This window comes from Homo sapiens, chromosome 7, assembly GCF_000001405.40.
Source record: "Homo sapiens chromosome 7, GRCh38.p14 Primary Assembly".
Taxonomy (NCBI): domain Eukaryota; kingdom Metazoa; phylum Chordata; class Mammalia; order Primates; family Hominidae; genus Homo; species Homo sapiens.
This window is the reverse complement of record NC_000007.14, coordinates 128,495,940-128,513,317: the sequence shown is the minus strand read 5'-3', so window position 1 is coordinate 128,513,317 and position 17,378 is coordinate 128,495,940. Positions and strand designations below refer to the sequence as shown.

General features: G+C 46.1%; 1 protein-coding gene across 1 annotated transcript in view, besides 2 other annotated features; it reads right to left on the bottom strand.

The window, feature by feature from the left end:
- Positions 6,453-6,542: an enhancer, noted in NCBI's record as "active region_26602". NCBI's record gives its function as "activates an Ori minimal core promoter by ATAC-STARR-seq in GM12878 lymphoblastoid cells {active_cell/tissue: GM12878}" and the evidence as "EXISTENCE:reporter gene assay evidence [ECO:0000049][PMID:35858748]".
- Positions 6,716-17,378, bottom strand: part of METTL2B (methyltransferase 2B, tRNA N3-cytidine) — a 29,855-nt gene continuing 19,192 nt past the window's right edge. Inside the window, exons 7-9 of the mRNA NM_018396.3 lie at positions 15,176-15,282; positions 12,350-12,415; positions 6,716-11,556 (exon numbers count right to left, since the gene is read on the bottom strand). Of these exons, the coding sequence (NP_060866.2) occupies positions 11,402-11,556; positions 12,350-12,415; positions 15,176-15,282 (328 nt within the window). The 3' untranslated portion in view covers positions 6,716-11,401. The remainder of the gene's footprint in view (positions 11,557-12,349; positions 12,416-15,175; positions 15,283-17,378) is intronic.
- Positions 17,097-17,297: a silencer, noted in NCBI's record as "peak6715 fragment used in MPRA reporter construct". NCBI's record gives its function as "represses an SCP1 promoter by STARR-seq MPRAs in K562 erythroleukemia cells {active_cell/tissue: K562}" and the evidence as "EXISTENCE:reporter gene assay evidence [ECO:0000049][PMID:32103011]".

The following is a 17,378-nucleotide window of genomic DNA, read 5'->3' as shown; positions in this document are numbered from 1 at the left end:
GCTACTCGGGAAGCTGAGGCAGAAGAATTGCTTGAACCCAGGAGGCAGAGGTTGCAGTGAGCCCAGATTGCACCACTGCGCTCCAGTCTGGGTGACAGAGCGACACTCTGTCTGAAAAAAAAAAAAAAAAAGAAAAAGAAAGAAAAAGAAAAGAAGAAAATGAATTCTTGCCGGGCTAATCCCAGCTACTCGGGAGGCTGAGGCAGGAGAATCGCTTGAACCCAGGAGGCAGATGTTGCAGTGAGCCGAGATCGTGCTACTGCACTCCAGCCTGGGCAACAGAGTGAGACTGGAGACTCTGTCTCAAAAACAAACCAACCAACCGGAAAAAAAAAAAAGGAAAAGAAAGAAGCAAGGAGAAGGAATCTCAAGACAGCAATGGAAGGGCATGAAATCAAGCGTGGGCCCTTCTGTAACTCAACAGGCCACAGCCTGTGAAGCCTCCACGGAACCCCTTGAACATGAGGGATTAGAATCCCAGCACCCCCTGGCCAGGTGCGGTGGCTCACGCCTGTAATCCCAGCACTTTGGGAGGCTGAGGTGGGCGGATCACGAGGTCAGGAGATCGAGACCATCCTGGCTAACATGGTGAAACCCCTTCTCTACTAAAAATTCAAAAAATTAGCCGGGCGTGGTAGCTGTAGTTCCAGCTACTGGTTGGGGGTTGGGAGGCTGAGGCACAAGAATGGCGTGAACCCGGGAGGCGGAGCTTGCAGTAAGCCGAGATCACGCCATTGCACTCCAGTCTGGGTGACAGAGCAAGACTCCATCTCAAAAAAAAAAAAAAAAAAAAAAAATCCAAGCTCCCCCTTCACCCCAGGAGGATCTGGCCCATAGGGTAAAGATGGGGGATTTCAGTTTTCTATTTTGATGAAAATGTTGCAATTTGGACAGTGTTGCAACACAAACACAAATTATGTAGACGATTGCATGGACTGTTGATAGTTCTTTTACTAAAACTTCTGATAGCTGCAGGGTTTTCTTCTCCTGGGGAGGGTTGGGGTGAGGGTGCCTTCTCCTCCAGCCCGCAGCAGGGTTAACATCTGAGCAGGTGTAACATTTTCCTGGACTGGCATCATTGGTTGGAGCCAAAAATGTCTAAACCCATATATTATGTCAGATATCATTTCTATCAAACTACCTCTCCCTAATCTAAGGCTAATTACCTCACGATTAACACTGGTAGTCTGACCTTGGTAAACCATTTACCCTCCCTGAACTTCGGATTTCCTCATCTGTAAAATGGAGATAATTACGCTTATATTCACAGAGGCAATGTGAGGATTAAATATATGAAAAGCTATTTAAAGAGTCTTAAGGTCTGGACAAACGCCAGCTCGTGTTAGTGCAAACCTGCTCAGCAGTTGCTTCGTTGGTGCGATGGGGCATCTCGGAACGGGACGGCTTGACAGAAACCTCCCTTGGTGCCATCCAATCTCTGGGCTCAGTTGTATTCTGAACAATCAACTTCTGATCTAAATTCAGTTTCTCAAGTAGCTTCCCTTCCTGGGGAGATCCCCTCAGCTTGTCAGTTACGTTTCAGATTACAGATCAATAATCTTGCTTTAGGAGCACGATTAGTGGCGTGGGGAAAAAGAAGAGCAAAATAATCTTGCTGTATAATCCAGACCCTTGTGAGCGGGGCTGACCTCACAGCTTTAACAGTTCCTAAATGAACTGAGAAGAATCCAGACCCTGCACACGAGGGTTGATTGGAAGCCGGCAATCATTCTCACTCATTTCTCCGCACCTAATGCACTTGGGTAGTACTAGGGCTGAGTGTGGTGGCTCAGGCCTGTAATCCAAGCACTTTGGGAGGCCAAGGCAGGAGGATCACTTGAGGCCAGGGGTTTGAGACCAGCATGGCCAGCATGGCCAAACCCTGTCTCTACAAAAAATACAAAAAAATTAGCCAAGTGTGGTAGCGCATGCCTGTAATCCCAGCTACTAGGGAGGCTGAGGCACGAGAATTGCTTGAACCCAGGAGGTTGAGGCTGCAGTGAGCTGAGATTGCACCACTGCACTCCAGCCTGGGTGACAGAGCGAGACTCTGTCTGAAAAAAAAAAAATGTGCTTGAGGCAGATACATTCATTACGAGAGTGAGCAATGGTACCAAGCTTAAGATTCATGATGCAGCGTTCCCCACACTGGGTGGGTGGAGAATCCACCATGAGCCTCAGGCCTTTGCACTGGCTGTTCCTTCCACAGAGAAGATGTTCCATGAGAGATGTGACCTTCTCCAGGAGGCCTTCCTTGTCCCCACTCCCAACCTCAGAGTGTGCCTTTTTCCTGATCCCTGCCACCTCTCTATTTTCCCTAGCTTGCTTGGTTCTTCCTGGCACATGCCCACGTGTTAGAGGATTTATGGGTTTATTGTTGGAATCTCCTCGTCCAAATTTGACAGCTCCAGGAAAGGTGTGACTGATGTGTTCACTCCTGTTTCCAGACCTAGTGCTCCAAGTCTTTGGCCCCAAAGGCATCCAACTGGAACTTAAGGTATTGTTTTGTTTTCATTGTATTGATCTTTAAAATACATTTTTATTTTTATTTATTTATTTATTTTTAAATAGAGATGGGGCCTCACTATCTTGCCCAGGCTTGCCTCAAACTCCTCAAATGGTTTAAGCCACCCTGGGTTCAAGTGATCCTCACACCTCGGCCCCCCAAAGCGTTAAGATTACAGGGGTTAGCCACTGCACATGGCCCAAAAATACTTTTAGTTCATGGCAACTAATACTTACTTTACCTTTATAGCAGTGATTTTTAAAAAATCCCTTAAAAATAAATTTAAGGCCGGGCACAGTGGCTCACGCTTGTAATCCCAGCACTTCGGGAGGCTGAGGTGGGCAGATCACAAGATCAAGAGATTGAGACCATCCTGGCCAACATGGTGAAACCCTGTCTCTACTAAAAATACAAAAAATTAGCCGGGCGTGGTGGCACGCACCTGTAGTCCCAGCTACTCTAGAGGCTGAGGCAGGAGAATCACTTGAACTGGGAGGCGGAGGTTGCAGTGAGCCGAGATCATGCTACTGCACTCCAGCCTGGGTGACAAGAGCAAGACTCCATCTCAAAAAATAATAATAAAAACAAATAAATAAACACATTTAAGTAAAAATATAAATTTTTTTAAAAAAATTCTGTTTTTTGAGATAGAGTCCCACTCTGTCACTCAGGCTGGAGTGCAGTGGCACAATCTCACTGCAACCTCCGCCTCCTGGGTTCAAGTGATTCTCCTGCCTCAGCCTCCTGAGTAGCTGGGACTACAGGCAAGCACCACCACCCCCAGCTGATTTTTGTATATTTTTTTTTTTTAGTAGAGATGGGGTTTCACTGTGTTGGCCAGGCTGGTCTGGCCTCAGGTGATATGCCTGCTTTGGCCTCCAAAGTGCTGGGATTACAGGTGTGAGCCACTGCGCCTGGCCAAAAATATAATGTAAAAGGATTCCATAATGGTCTACTCGGATATCAATATTTGGGAAGATGAAATAAACCAGCTGAAGTCTAGGAAATCATGCTCTTACGGATGCCTTTTTGGGGATTCTGCCTGCCATTGTGGGAACTGGCTGCCTAGACACACACACACGCACATGCTGCACACCCATTTTACAGAGACATCAAACCTCAGGAGCTTGGTTACAGCTGCCTCCCACAAGTGCACTAAGGAGCAGAGAAGTGGTCCTTAAAGAGGCTGCAGGAGTGAGGGCAACCGGGCAACCACACACCTCCCAGCGTGGGGTCCAGGAGGCGCCCTGTGCCCTTCTACTGTTGTTTTTTGTTTAAGCCACCTTGAGCTGTTGATAGTTGCAACCTTGTATGATTTTGTTTTTAAGTTAAATACAAACTGTGTATCCGGGGTGTCTGTGCAGTGGTAGGGGGCAGTGGGCAGGGTAGGAAGAAGCTATTCAGGCATTCAGTCCCCACTTACTGGGCACTGACCATGGGCCAGGGGCTTTGGTAGTCTGCTGTGTTTAGAATACAACGGTCCCCCAAGAAATTCACAATTTATTTATTTATTTATTTATTTGAGATGGAGTCTCACTCTTGTCACTCAGACTGGAACACAATGGCTTGATCTCGGCTCACTGTAACCTCCACCTTCCAGGTTGAAGCTGTTCTCCTGCCTCAGTCTCCCGAGTAGCTGGGATTACAGATGCGCGTCACTATGCCCAGCTAATTTTTGTATTTTCAGTAGAGATGGGGTTTCACCATGGTGTCCAGGCTGGTCTTGAACTCCTGACCTCAGGTGATCTGCCTGCTTTGGACCCCCAAAGTACTGGGATTACAGGTGTGACCCACCGTGCCTGGCCTTTTTTATTATTTTTTGAGGCAGAGTTTTGCTCTTGTCACTCAGGCTGGAGTGCAATGGCAGGATCTCAGCTCATTGTAACCTCCGCCTCCCGGGTTCAAGTGATTCTCTTGCCCCAGCTTCCCAAGTAGCTGGGATTACAGGCACTCACCATCACACCTGGCTAATTTTCAGTAGAGACAGGGTTTCACCATGTTGGCCAGGCTGGTCTCGAATTCCTGACCTCAAGGTATCCACCTGTCTTGGCCTCCAAAGGGATTACAGGCATGAGCCACCGCACCGTGTCAGAAACTCATAATTTAATGAGCTCGATTGAATGTCGGCCTTAATCGCCCACAAAAATTGAGGGGTAATCAGAAGCAAGGCTGAAGAGGGTGACAGGGGCTTGTCAGTAGCAGGGCTCTTCAGGGCCCTCGCCATTCTGCTCACCCTTGGAGGGTTTCTCAAGTGTGCCACTGCTGATAAATGTTCCTCCCTCCCTCCTTTCCTTCTTTTTTTTTTTCTTTCCTTCTTCCCTTTCTCTCTCTTTTTTTTTTGAAGGAGTCTCATTCTGTCACCCAGGCTGAAGTGCAGTGGCGTGATCTTGGCTCACTGAAACCTCAGCCTCCTGGGTTCAAGCGATTCTCCTGCCTCGGCTCCCCCAGTAGCTGGGATTACAGGCATGGGTCACCACACTCGGCTACTTTTCTTTTTCTTTCTTACCTTTCCTTCGTTCTCTCTCCCTCTCTCCTTCCTTCTTTCCTTTCTATCTCTCTCTCTTTTCTTTTCTTTTTTGAGACAGAGTCTTGCTGTGTCACCCAGCAGTGGTGTGATCACAGCTCACTGAAGCCTTGAACTTCTGGGCTCAAGCGATCCTCTCACCTCAGCCACCTGAGTAGCTAGGACTACACACAGGCACCACCACGCCTGGCTAATTTTTTATTTTTTTGTATGAACAGGATGCTGCTATGTTACCCAGGCTGGTGTTGAACTCCTGGACTCAAGCGATCCTCCCATCTTGGCCTCCCAAAGTGCTGGGATTACAGGTGTGAGCCATCACACCTGGCTATAACATTAAATTTTAATGGCAAAATCCAAATTCAGAGAATGGAAGTAGAGAATGAATGAATGAAGGCAGTGTGAGGCTCATCTGTGGGTAAAGATGCCAAGCTTGAGGCTGGAGTCAAGGCTACGGTGTCTCAGGGTCCCCAGTGGGGTATTAAATCGGACTGTGGTGATTTGTCCTGAAACCTGGTCATGGAGTGTGTTTCACTGGCTACAGAGACAATGTCCAACCTTGAGCCAAGACACTTATTTAAATAAAATGAAGCAGTCATGATGCAATGTTTCAGTGTTTTCACCTGGGAAATTCACCATGAGCACTTCTTCTACCTCTTAACCAGGGTTCCCAAATCACAACCTGTAGACCAAATTAGGAAGCACGCACAAATCTGCAATGCATCAACGCAGCCAGGCTCTGAAAATAGCAGCTGCAGCCACAAACCAAAGAACAGGCCTTTGTGAACAGACTGAAAGAAACTGCTTGTCCTGAGCTCATCTTTTAAGCCACAGACAGAACTCCTTACTCCTACTAAAGTATGTATTTAAGCAAAGATAGGAATCAATTACATCCAAGTAGGATGGCTTAGCACGTTAGATTTTCCCTTTCTCACTAAGTTTCCAAGGCCTAATTTTCCAACCAGAACCCAAGAGAATATGAACTTATATGAAAAGAAGTGGCCGACCCATTGTACATAGGTTTGATAGCATTAACAGAGGCCAGGCTCTACATGAATCCTGCAAGACCGGGAGATGAATCCCTTTCACAGTGCAAAACCCACTTTCAGGGTGATCGCTGCCTTCAGGAACATGGTTTCACTCCAATAGCTCCAGTGCATCTGTCTCAAACTGTCTCTCATTTTTCAAACAACATTGAATTTATCTCCTCACCCTAATTAACACTACTTAGGAAGGTAAATCAGTTTCAGAAACACTTCTCTGTTAGATTCACATTGAAACCACACAACTTCCTGAGCAGCTTCACACCTGGAGCCACCTTCCAGCCCCACATAGCACCTTTCTTTTTTTTTTTTTTTTTTTTTTGAGATGGAGTCTTGCTCTGTCACCCAGGCTGGAGGGCAATCTCTGCTCACTGCAACCTCCGCCTCCCGGGTTCAAGCAATTCTTCTACCTCAGCCTCCCCAGTAGCTGGGATTACAGGCTCCCACCACCATGCCTGGCTAAATTTTTTTTATTTTTAGTAGAGATGGGTTCTGCCATGTTGGCCAGGCTGGTCTCAAACTCCTGACCTCAGGTGATCCGCCTGCCACAGCCTCCCAAAGTGCTGGGATTACAAGCGTGAGCCACCACGCCCGACCCACCATTCTTGCATTAAGCATATTAAGAGATACCATTCAGAGCCAGACTGATAGTTGAGACAGTATTTATTTTTTAAGTGGCACTGAGGTCATATACTTTAATCCCTCCCAACACATGTAACAGTCCTCTGCCCATCATTAGCGATTCTGAGGATGAAACGTTATGCAAAGTCCCTTACAGAGTCAAATTTGGCCTGAGAGATAAAAAGTCGAGCTTAGCAGATGGCAGGGAATAAAAGGGAGCAGGGGCAGGAGAAGGCTCGTCTTTTTAATCTAAGCCAAAGCCCAAACCAGGTGCCAGAAAGATAAAATAAAAACTGTGCCTATAGTTTTGCAATGCTTTAGGGATGCTGAAGGACAGTCTTTAGAGAATCATTTAAATTAATGTATCTATTCTTCATTTCAAAAGATAAATGAAATACCATCCCAGTGATTCAGTTTTTTCCAGTTTTAAGTAAATACGGTAATGGAAAAGATGGGAGCTCTCTTCCTCCCTTCATTCTTTGCTCCCACCTCTGAAAACCCATTAAGTGGGGCCAGTCACGGTGGCTCATCCCAGCACTTTGGGAGGCCGAGGTGGGAGGATTGCTTGAGCTCAGGAGCTCAAGACCAGCCTGGGACACATGGTGAAACCCTGTCTCTACAAAAAATACAAAAATTAGGCTTGGTGGCACATGCCTGTAGTCCCATCTACTTGGGAGGCTGGGGTGGGAGAATCACTTGAGCATGGGAGGTCGAGGCTGCAGTAAGCAGTAAGCAGTGATCGTGCTGCTGCACTCCAGCCTGGGTGAGCCTGTCTCAAAAACAACAACAAATAACCCCACAAGAAACTCAAATACCCATGGGTCCATATTGAGACAAGTAAATCAGATATGAGAAAGCTTTTCTGTACAAAATACCAACCAATCAGTGTAGAAGGAATGGAAGGATCAGAAACCACTATTTGGCAACTATCATAGTTATTCAGACAAAAAACAGCAATAGATACTGAAACTAGGGGGTAGAAGTTTGATGAGGAACAGGATATTTAGTCTCAAAGCACTTCCCTACAAAATACTTATTAACTTTACAGTGGCAGAACCTGGCAGACAACACAACTAAGTGACATCACCAATAATGGGGAAATTCATAATCATGTGTCGCCTGATACGATCCTATGGGAGGAACACAGCATCACCTCTGAATATTCCTGCCCAAAATGCAGAGCCTGAACCAAATCATGAAGAAACACCAACAAACCCAATTCGAGTTTACACAATAGCCTCTTACCTTAAAATGCAAAGGTGCAAAAGCAAGCCTAAACTGTAGACTGAAGGAGACTGAGACACAACTAATAAATTCAATACAATTATTTATTTTTTACATTTTTTTTGTTTTTTTATTTTGAGACGGAGTCTCACTGTTGCCCAGGCTGGAGTGCAATGGTGCGATCTCGGCTCACTGCAACCTCCGCCTCCCAGGTTCAAATGATTCTCTAGACTCAGCCTCCCAGATAGCTGGGATTACAGGCGCCCACCACCATGCCCAGCTAATTTTTTTTTTTTTTTTTTTTTGAGACGGAGTTTCACTCTTGTTGCCCAGGCTGGAGTGCAATGGCGCCATCTCGGCTCACTGCAACCTCTGCCTCCCAGATTCAAGTGATTCTCCTGCCTCAGCCTTCCAAGTAGATGGGGTTACAGGCATGCGCCATCACACCTGGCTATTTTGTATTTTTAGTAGAGACGGGGTTTCTCCATGTTGGTCAGGCTGGTCTCGAACTCCCGACCTCAGGTGATCCACCTGCCTCGGTCTCTCAAAGTGCTGGGATTACAGGTGTGAGCCACCATGCCTGGTCTGTATTGTTAGCAGAGATGGGGTTTCATTAAGTTGGCCAGGCTGGTCTCGAACTCCTGACCTCAAATGATCCGCCCACCTCGGCCTCCCAAAGTGCTGGGATTACAGGCGTGAGCCACTGCACCCGGCCTATGTTTAACATTTTTTAAAAAGTCAGGGTCTTGGCCGGGCGTGGTGGCTCACGCCTGTAATCCCAGCACTTTGGGAGGCTGAGGCGGGCAGATCACCTGAGGTCGGGAGTTCGAGATCAGCCTGACCAACATGGAGAAACCTTGTCTCTACTAAAAATACAAAAAATTTAGCTGGGAATGGTGCTGCATGCCTGTAATTCCAGCTACTTGGGAGGCTGAGGCAGGAGAATCACTTAAACTTGGGAGGTGGAGATTGCAGTGAGCCGAGATCGTGCCATTGTACTCCAGCCTGGGCAACAAGAGCGAAACTCCATCTCAAAAAAAAAAAAAAAAAAAGTCAGGGTCTTGCTACATTACCCAGCCTGGTCTTGAACTCCTGGCCTCAAGTCATCCTCCTGCCTTGGGCTCCCAAAATGCTAAGATTACAGGAGCCACTGTGCCCAGCCAACATAATCATGTTTTTGTGTGACAAAGCTATTATTGGGACTACTGGGTAAACATGAATGGTTAGTGGCTGGCATTAATGTTTCCATGTATTCCTACTTGTGATGGATATATTTGGTAATATATTTGCTGATGTTGGGACATCAGAAAAAAATGGACTATTCTTGCAGTATTCCTATATAAATTTATTATTCCAAAATTTAGAAAAACATCAACAAGGTGAAAGCTAGGCATCTTTGTTTTTGAGATGCAGTTTCGCTCTTGTCGCCCAGGCTGGAGTGCAATGGCACCATCTCAGCTCACTGCAACCTCCGCCTCCCAGGTTCAAGCAATTCTCCTACCTCAGCCTCCTGAGTAGCTGGGATTACAGGCGCCCACAACCATGCCGGGCTGATTTTTTATTTTTTAGTGGAGACGGGGTTTCACTATGTTAGCCGGGCTGGACTGGAACTCCTGACCTCAAGTGATCTGCCCACCTCAGCCTCCCAAAGTGCTGGGATTATAGGCGTGAGCCGCCATGCCTGGTCGAAAAGTCCTTACTTTCTAAAATTAAGGATATATCCTATAACTGCATGGATCAAGACAGAAATATGTAAAAATAATTGAAAAAATGCAGAACATAAAAAAAAAGGATCTAACAATTAGCTAGGCATGATGGTGCCCACCTGCAGTCCTAGCTACTCAGGAGGCTGAGGTGGAGCGATGGCTCAAGCCAGAAGTTCGAGGTGATAATGAGCTATCATTGCACCACTGAACTCCAGCCTGGGCAACAAAGTGAGAGCCCTGTCTCCTAAAAAAAAAAAAAAAAAGCATCTAACACTGACAGTGATCACATTCAGAAGTGAAGTGATGATGTGGTTAAAATTAAGAAGTTCTCTCAATTCCTTTTGTGTCAAACACTTAAGGGTGCAGTAAAAAAAGATAATTTTGCAAAAAGTGAAAATTCTTTTCTTTTATTTTTTTGAGACAGAGTCTTCCTCTGTTGCCCAGGCTGGAATGCAGTGACATGATCTCGGCTCACTGCAACCTCTGCCTCCCAGGTTCAAACGATTCTCCTGCCTTAGCCTCCCGAGTAGCTGGGACTACAGGGGACTACAGGCGCATGCCACCATGCCCAGCTATTTTTTTTGGTATTTTTAGTGGAGACGAGGTTTCACCGTGTTAGCCAGGATGGTCTCGATCTCCTGACCTCGTGATCCACCTGCCTCAGCCTCCCAAAGTGTTGGGATTACAGGCATGAGCTACCGCACCCAGCCAAATTCTTTTAATTCTTTAGACATAGGTTAGAGGGGGAACAGTGCTTAAAATTCCATGGAACTAAGATTTTTTTTATTTTTATTTTTTTGAGACAGAGTCTTGCTTTGTTGCCCAGGCTGGAGTACAGTGGCGCAATCTCAGCTCACTGCAACCTCTGCCTCCTGGGTTCAAGTGATTCTCCTGCCTCAGCCTCCCGAGTAGCTGGATTACAGGCACCCACCAACACACCCAGCTAATTTTTTTATCTTTAGTAGAGACGGGGTTTCACCATGTTGGCCACGCTGGTCTCGAACTCCTGACCTCAGGTGATCTGCCCGCCTCGGCCTCCCAAAGTGCTGGGATTACAGGTGTGAGCCACCGTGCCTGGCGGAACTAAGATTAAAGCAAAGACCACGATCAATTACTTAACAAGAACACCACATTTTGATGCTGTCTACAGGGTCATTTTTTTCTTGTCAGGAAAATATCTGATCTGATTCTTCCCAGCTTGCTTCCCCTACAACTTAATAAGCCCTTCACTAACCCCTGTATGTATTAACTGCAATTGCCTAGCCCGGCATTTACACTCTCAAAAGATTTAACGCAATTACAATCAAAAAACACTTGTCATATATAACACTTTTTCACATGGAAATAAATGGTGGTTTAAGGTTTACAATTCCTTTGAATAAAATTTCAGTTATTAGTTACAAAATGCTAAGACAGATTGAGGTCTCAAAGAAAGAACTTGAGAAAATTATGTTTTAAAGGACTTCACAAATATGAAGCATAATTGTTAGAATCCTGATACAAAGTAACTTTTCCTAGGTTTAAGGTTCAAGTCTGAATTCTTGAATTGTCCAGCATCAACGAGACCTCATTTATATTCTTTTTATTTTATCATTACTTTCAGATTCAGGGTCTCTCGCTATTTTGCCCAGGCTGGACTCCTGGGCTCAATGGATCCTCCCTGCCTCAGCCTCCTGAGTGGCTGGGATTACAGGCATGCACCATGCCCGGTGCTACAAATTTTTTTTTAAAAAAGCTCGGAAACACAACGGGCTTGCATCGTGTTGGCAGCAGGTGCCTCTTAGCTGGTGCTGGACAGAAGGGGCTTGCAGTATTTGCACTGAATCCAAACCCGGTACATTGTCAGTTGCTTCCCTCGGTTCACCTGCAGTCGGCGGTCCACCAGATTCTGAACTTTTTCCAGTCCAGCAGTGGTGAAAAGCGTGTCCAGTTCCTCTAGTGTGGAAAATAAAAGATGTTTATGCATTTTCCCCTCAAGAAAAGGCATTTTTATCTACTAAGTCCTTGTTAAATGGGGCTCTGGGAAGTTGCTGTCGTGTTTTTTACATGGCCATTTGGTTATAAATGCAGTGGTGGCTTGGTAACAACAAGTTCATGTTTAGGTAGGGGAAGCCACTGTGTATAGGCCGCGGTTTTTTCTTTTTTAAAAACCTTTGGTTTATATTTGGCCTTTAGGCTCTATGAACACCTTAAAATTTATGCAAAACTATCTACGTATGTCAAAGCAATTGCTTTAGGAAAGAGGTTTCATCATCTTAACCAAAGGCTCAAAGAAGGTGACCCTAAAAAGGGCCCAGGAACAGAAGGCCCAAGTGAAGGATGAAGCCTGTGGATGGGCCAGTTGCAGAGGAGAGCAGTTCCCGGCACCCCTAGAACCCAGGGTTCACCCTGACCCAGGCACACCAAAGCACAACCCCGTGTAGAGGGTGAGACAGGCTGGACTGGAGGTGAGCCTTGCAGAGTGGGCAGGCTTCCCATTTTGGACAGTGGCAGACAGGGAGAGCAGAGCAGGACTGAAGGCATGGACAAGCCAGGGCTGCCTGGGGGCCCGAGTGGCTGGCTGCCATGGGTAGCCTAGCCCAGGGTGGAAGAGGGTGTGAGCAGCGGGGAACCGAAGGAAACAGCCTGCCTAAAAGGCAGGAGGGGCCAGATAGTTTTCCTTCTGAATGTGCCTTGAAGACCATCTGGTACTGGGGACTTTTAGCGTAAAAAGATGAGTGTTTCATACCTTGTGTGAAGAAGTAAACTCTGGTTCCATCACCTCTCACATAGAAATTTCCAGATAGACACTGACCTGCAGAGTGATGTATTAAAAATCAGAGACACTTTAAAGTGTCTCTTTGACTTGCACTGCTAAGGAATGTTAACTGAGAGGCCAGTTTGTTGGGTGGAGAGCACTCCTGCCTCAGTGCTTCGGGAAGAGCAGCTCAACGGGAGTAAGTCACAATGTCAGAAAACATGAGGTTCCTAAGCACCCCACTCCAAAACTCTAGAATTATTTGATGAAAACAACTTGTTCACTCTCCCAACCCTATTAAACTAACAGCACAAACTTTTTATTTATTTATTTTTTTTGAGACAGAGTTTCGCTCTTGTTGCCTAGGCTGGGTGCAATGGCGTGACCTCAGATCACTGCAACCTCTGACTCCCAGGTTCAAGTGATTCTCCTGCCTCAGCCTCCCAAGTAGCTGGGATTACAGGTTCCCACCACCACGCCCAGCTAATTTTTTGTATTTTTAGTAGAGACAAGGTTTCACCATGTTGGCTAGGCTGGTCTCAAACTCCTGACCTCAGGTGATCCACCCGCCTTGGCCTCCCAAAGTGCTGGGATTAAAGGCATGAGCCACCGTGCCTGGCCTATTTTTTTTCTTTAATTAAGCAATATAGCTGAGTTTAAGGAAACTTGAGACAACCATTACCATTTTGGTGGTGACTGTCCTTTGCATGTCTCTTCACGTGTCTACAGAATCATAAATACAACTCAGATACTGTTTTGATCATGAACATGCTTTCCCTTCTGCTGCTAACCTCCCTGACCTCATCTCAGTTTACCAGCCTGGCACATACTTCTAGACCTTCCCGAATGCCCAAATCATCACACGTGTATACTTATTTCCCTGCAGATACTGGTATACGGGGATGGAGTTTAAAATACTCCCTTGCACATTGCTCTCCTCTCACTGAATACACAACAGAAATCCCTCCAAGTTCAGTGGTATGGGGTCCACCTCAGGTGACAAGCACGACATCTCCCTATCCAGAGGCATTCACTTTGTTTACAAAGTTTTGCTCCTGCATGTATTATGTGCTAGTTCTTGACTATATTCAAAAAAAGACTGGACTGAACAATAATTGGGTACTTAAAAAAAGGCTGTAAGCTGGGAGCAGTGGCTCACGCCTGTAATCCCAGGACTTTGGGAGGCCGAGGTGGGTGGATCACCTGAGGTCAGGAGTTTGAGACCAGCCTGACCAACATGGTGAAACCCTGTCTCTACTAAAAATACAAAAAAATTAGCCAGGCGTGGTGGCACATGCCTGTAGTCTCGGCTACTCGGGAGGCTGAGGCAGGAGAATTGCTTGAACCCAAGAGACAGACGTTGCAGTGAGCCGAGATCGTGCCATTGCGCTTCAGCCTGGGAGACAGAGCGAGACTCCGTCTCAAAAAAAAAAAAAAAAAAAGGCTGTTAATACTGGGCACAGTGGCTCACACCTGTAATTCCAGCATTTTGGGAGGCCAAGGTGGGTGGACCCAGGAGGCAGAGGTTGCAGTGAGCCGAGATCGCGCCATTGCGCTCCAGCCTGGGCAACAAGGGCAAAACTCCATCTGAAAAAAAAAAGGCTGTAACAATTTCTTTTTCTACCAGTAATGAAGGAATGCACCTCTTTCTTTGAATTGGCCAGCAATAAGAAGTACTAACTTGTTATTTTTATTTCCTTGAAGTGTTGTTTACTGGCCATTTAGATACGTTCTTCTGTGAACTGACTAAACACTCTTCACCTGCTTTTTGGGTGGGTCACTGATCCTTATCAGTTTCATGACAGCTCCCTGAAGAGCAAAGATATTAAGTCTTCATCTATTATATGCACTGAAAATATTCCTTCTTACTCCGTCATTTGCCTTTTACATTTTTAATGGCATCTTTTGTCATGCCACATTTAAAATTATTTATGTCTTTCAGATGTCTTTTTTTTTTTTTTTGAGACAGAGTTTCACTCTTGTTGCCCAGGCTGGAGTGCAATGGTGCGATCTCGGCTCACTGCAAGCTCCGCCTCCTGGGTTCAAGCGATTCTCCTGCCTCAGCCTCCCGAGTAGCTGGGATTACAGGCATGTGCCACCATGCCCGGCTAATTTGTATTTTTAGTAGAGACAGGGTTTCTCCATGTTGGTCGGGCTGGTCTCGAACTCTTGACCTCAGGTGATCTGCCCGACTCGGCCTCCCAAAGTGTTGGAATTACAGGCATGAGCCACTGCGCCCGGCTGTCTTTCAAATGTCTTTCTAATAAAAGCTCTTCTAAAGGTAGCTGTCTTGCTTAAAAAGACCTCAATATCTAGATTATACAAGCCTCTTCAGTTTTCTTAAAAAATATACTACTCTGTCACATATTAAATGGCTTTATATAAGGAGTTCTAATTCTAGAGTTTCTATTCTGATGGCAGCACCATTTTTTGATTATAGTGGCCACATACCTTTTTTTTTTTTAAAATTATACTTTAAGTTCTGGGGTACATGTGCAGAACATACAGGTTTGATACATATGTATACACGTGCCATGGAGGTTTGCTGCACCTATCTACCCGTCATCTACATTAGGTATTTCTGCTAATGCTCTCCCTCTCCCAGCCCCCCCACCTCCAGACAGGCCCCAGTGTGTGATGCCCCCCACCCCGCGTCCATGTGTTCTCATTGTTCAACTCCCACTTATGAGTGAGAAAATATGGTGTTTGGTTTTCTGTTCTTGTGTTAGTTTGCTGAGAATGATGATTTCCAGCTTCATCCATGTCCCTGCAAAGGACATGATCTCTAGTGGTTAGGATTCAGCACTCTCAAAATACCTTTTTTAAACCGAAGCTGAGCCATGTCATAGCGGCCGTAATCTCGCAGAAGTACCATCCCCCCAGGTTTCAGAAGCCTGCTCAGCCTGTTGATAGCCTTCTGCATCCTGTGGAGACACAGGGAATTATAGTTAATCAGGTCTCCTTAAAGACAGGGTTCTCTTTCCCTGTAGCATATCCCAAAAAGCCAGTGGACTTCCTCAACTGACACACCAAGTCTGAGATCTAAGCTCCTCTACTCTTCAGTTAGAACTGAAGGACGTTAGCTGCCTGCTCACAGCTGTGGCCTCAATCCACTGCCTTCAGCCCGAAGAGGCCCAAGGACAGCCTGCTTCTGCCATAAGAAAGTTCTCTGCTCCCGGCCAGGTGCGGTGGCTCATGCTTGTAATACCACCATTTTGGGAGGCTGAGGCAGGCGGATCAAATGAGGTCAGGAGTTTGAGACCAGTCTGGCCAAAACGGTGAAACCCCGTCTCTACTGAAAATACAAAAAGTAGCCAGGCGTGGTGGCATGCGTCTATAATCCCAGACACTCAGGAGGCTGAGGCAGGAGAACTTCTGGAACCTGGGAGGTGGAGGTTGCAGTGAGCCAAGATTGCACCACTGCCCTCCGGCCTGGGCGGCAGAGTAACTGAGACTCCATCTCCAAAGAACAAACAAACAAACAACAGTTCTCTGCTCTCCATCTGGATCACTTCCCCACTGTCCTAGATAGCCATCTTTGCCCTGTGCTCCTGTGGCTAAGCCGAATCCTGAGCATCCAGTGGGTTCTGCTAGGGGACTTATCTGCCTGCACCATTAGACCTGAGCTCTTTCAATGTAGGGGCTGTATCTTTCTGTTTGCTAAATGAAGACTTGTCCTCAAGAACTTACAAGTTACATGGCAATACAATCAGTATGCAAATGAGTATAACAGACAGAGGGTTTTACACTTAGGTCTGCGCTTTCCATATGCAGTGTTCTTCAAAAGTCTTGGTGCAGGTTGAAGCTTTCATAACTTGAGAAGTCTAAATGCTACAAACTTCACCAAAAAAAATTTCAAAGTCTATTTAAATTTTGCATAATGAATGTTTCCCACTTAAAAAAAACAAAAAACAGAAAAATGGCTAAGGCAGGCAGATCACCTGAGATCAGGAGTTCGAGACCAGCCAGACCAACATGGTGAAACCCTGTCTCTACTAAAAATACAAAAAAATTAGCCAGGGATGGTGGCAGGCACCTGTAATCCCAGCTACTTGGGATGCTGAGGCAGGAGAATCGCTTGAACCCGGGAGGCAGAGATTGCAGTAAGCCAAGACCATAGCACACACTCCAGCCTGGGCAACAAGAGCGAAACTCTGTCTCAGAAAACAAACAAACAAACAAACAAACAAACAAACAAAGAAAAAGCAGCTGGGGTCCTGCTATGCTATGTTGCCCAGGCTGGACTCTTGGGCTCAAGTGATCCTCCTGCCTCAGTCTCCTAGGTAGCTGGGACTAAAAGTGTGTGCCACTGTGGCTGACTTGAATTTTAAATTTTAATAATTTGTTTTAGTCCATGTCAATTTTAAAAAAGTTTGTAGCATTGAAACTTCTAAAGTCATAGGTTTTTTTTGAGACAGGGTCTCACTCTGTCACCCAGGCTGCAGTGCAGTGGTGTGATCATAGCTCACTTCACTGCAGCCTCAAACTCCTGGGCTTAAGCCATACTCCCGCCTCAGCCTTCTGAGTAGCTGGGACTACAAATATGCACCTGGCTAATTTTTTTATTTTTATTTTTAGTAGAGACAGGGGTCTTGCTTTGTTGCCCAAGCTGGTCTTGAGCTCCTGGCTTCAAGCACTCCTTCCACCTCAGCCTCCCAAAGTGGTGGGATTATAGGCGTGAGCCACTGTGCCTGGTCAACCTCTGCAATTATTAAAGTTTAAAACCATGGTAGGCCTTTTGGGTTATCCTGCATATGCCTTTATTTCACACTCATCCTCTAAGGTTGGATAACTTCAGTACCCTTCTAGAGGAAGTGTGGCCTTCTAGAGGAAGGTCAATCACTCAAAGCTCCTATCCTGTGCAGCCAGCAAGGGGTCCTTGGACTCTGGGAGATAAACCAGGATCTCAATCACTGGTCCCTGCAGTCTCTAGTCATGTAATCTGGCTTCCTAACACCAGCTTACCTTGACCTTTAACACTAATTTACTTAATCATCTTTGCAGGACTCTGATGATACAG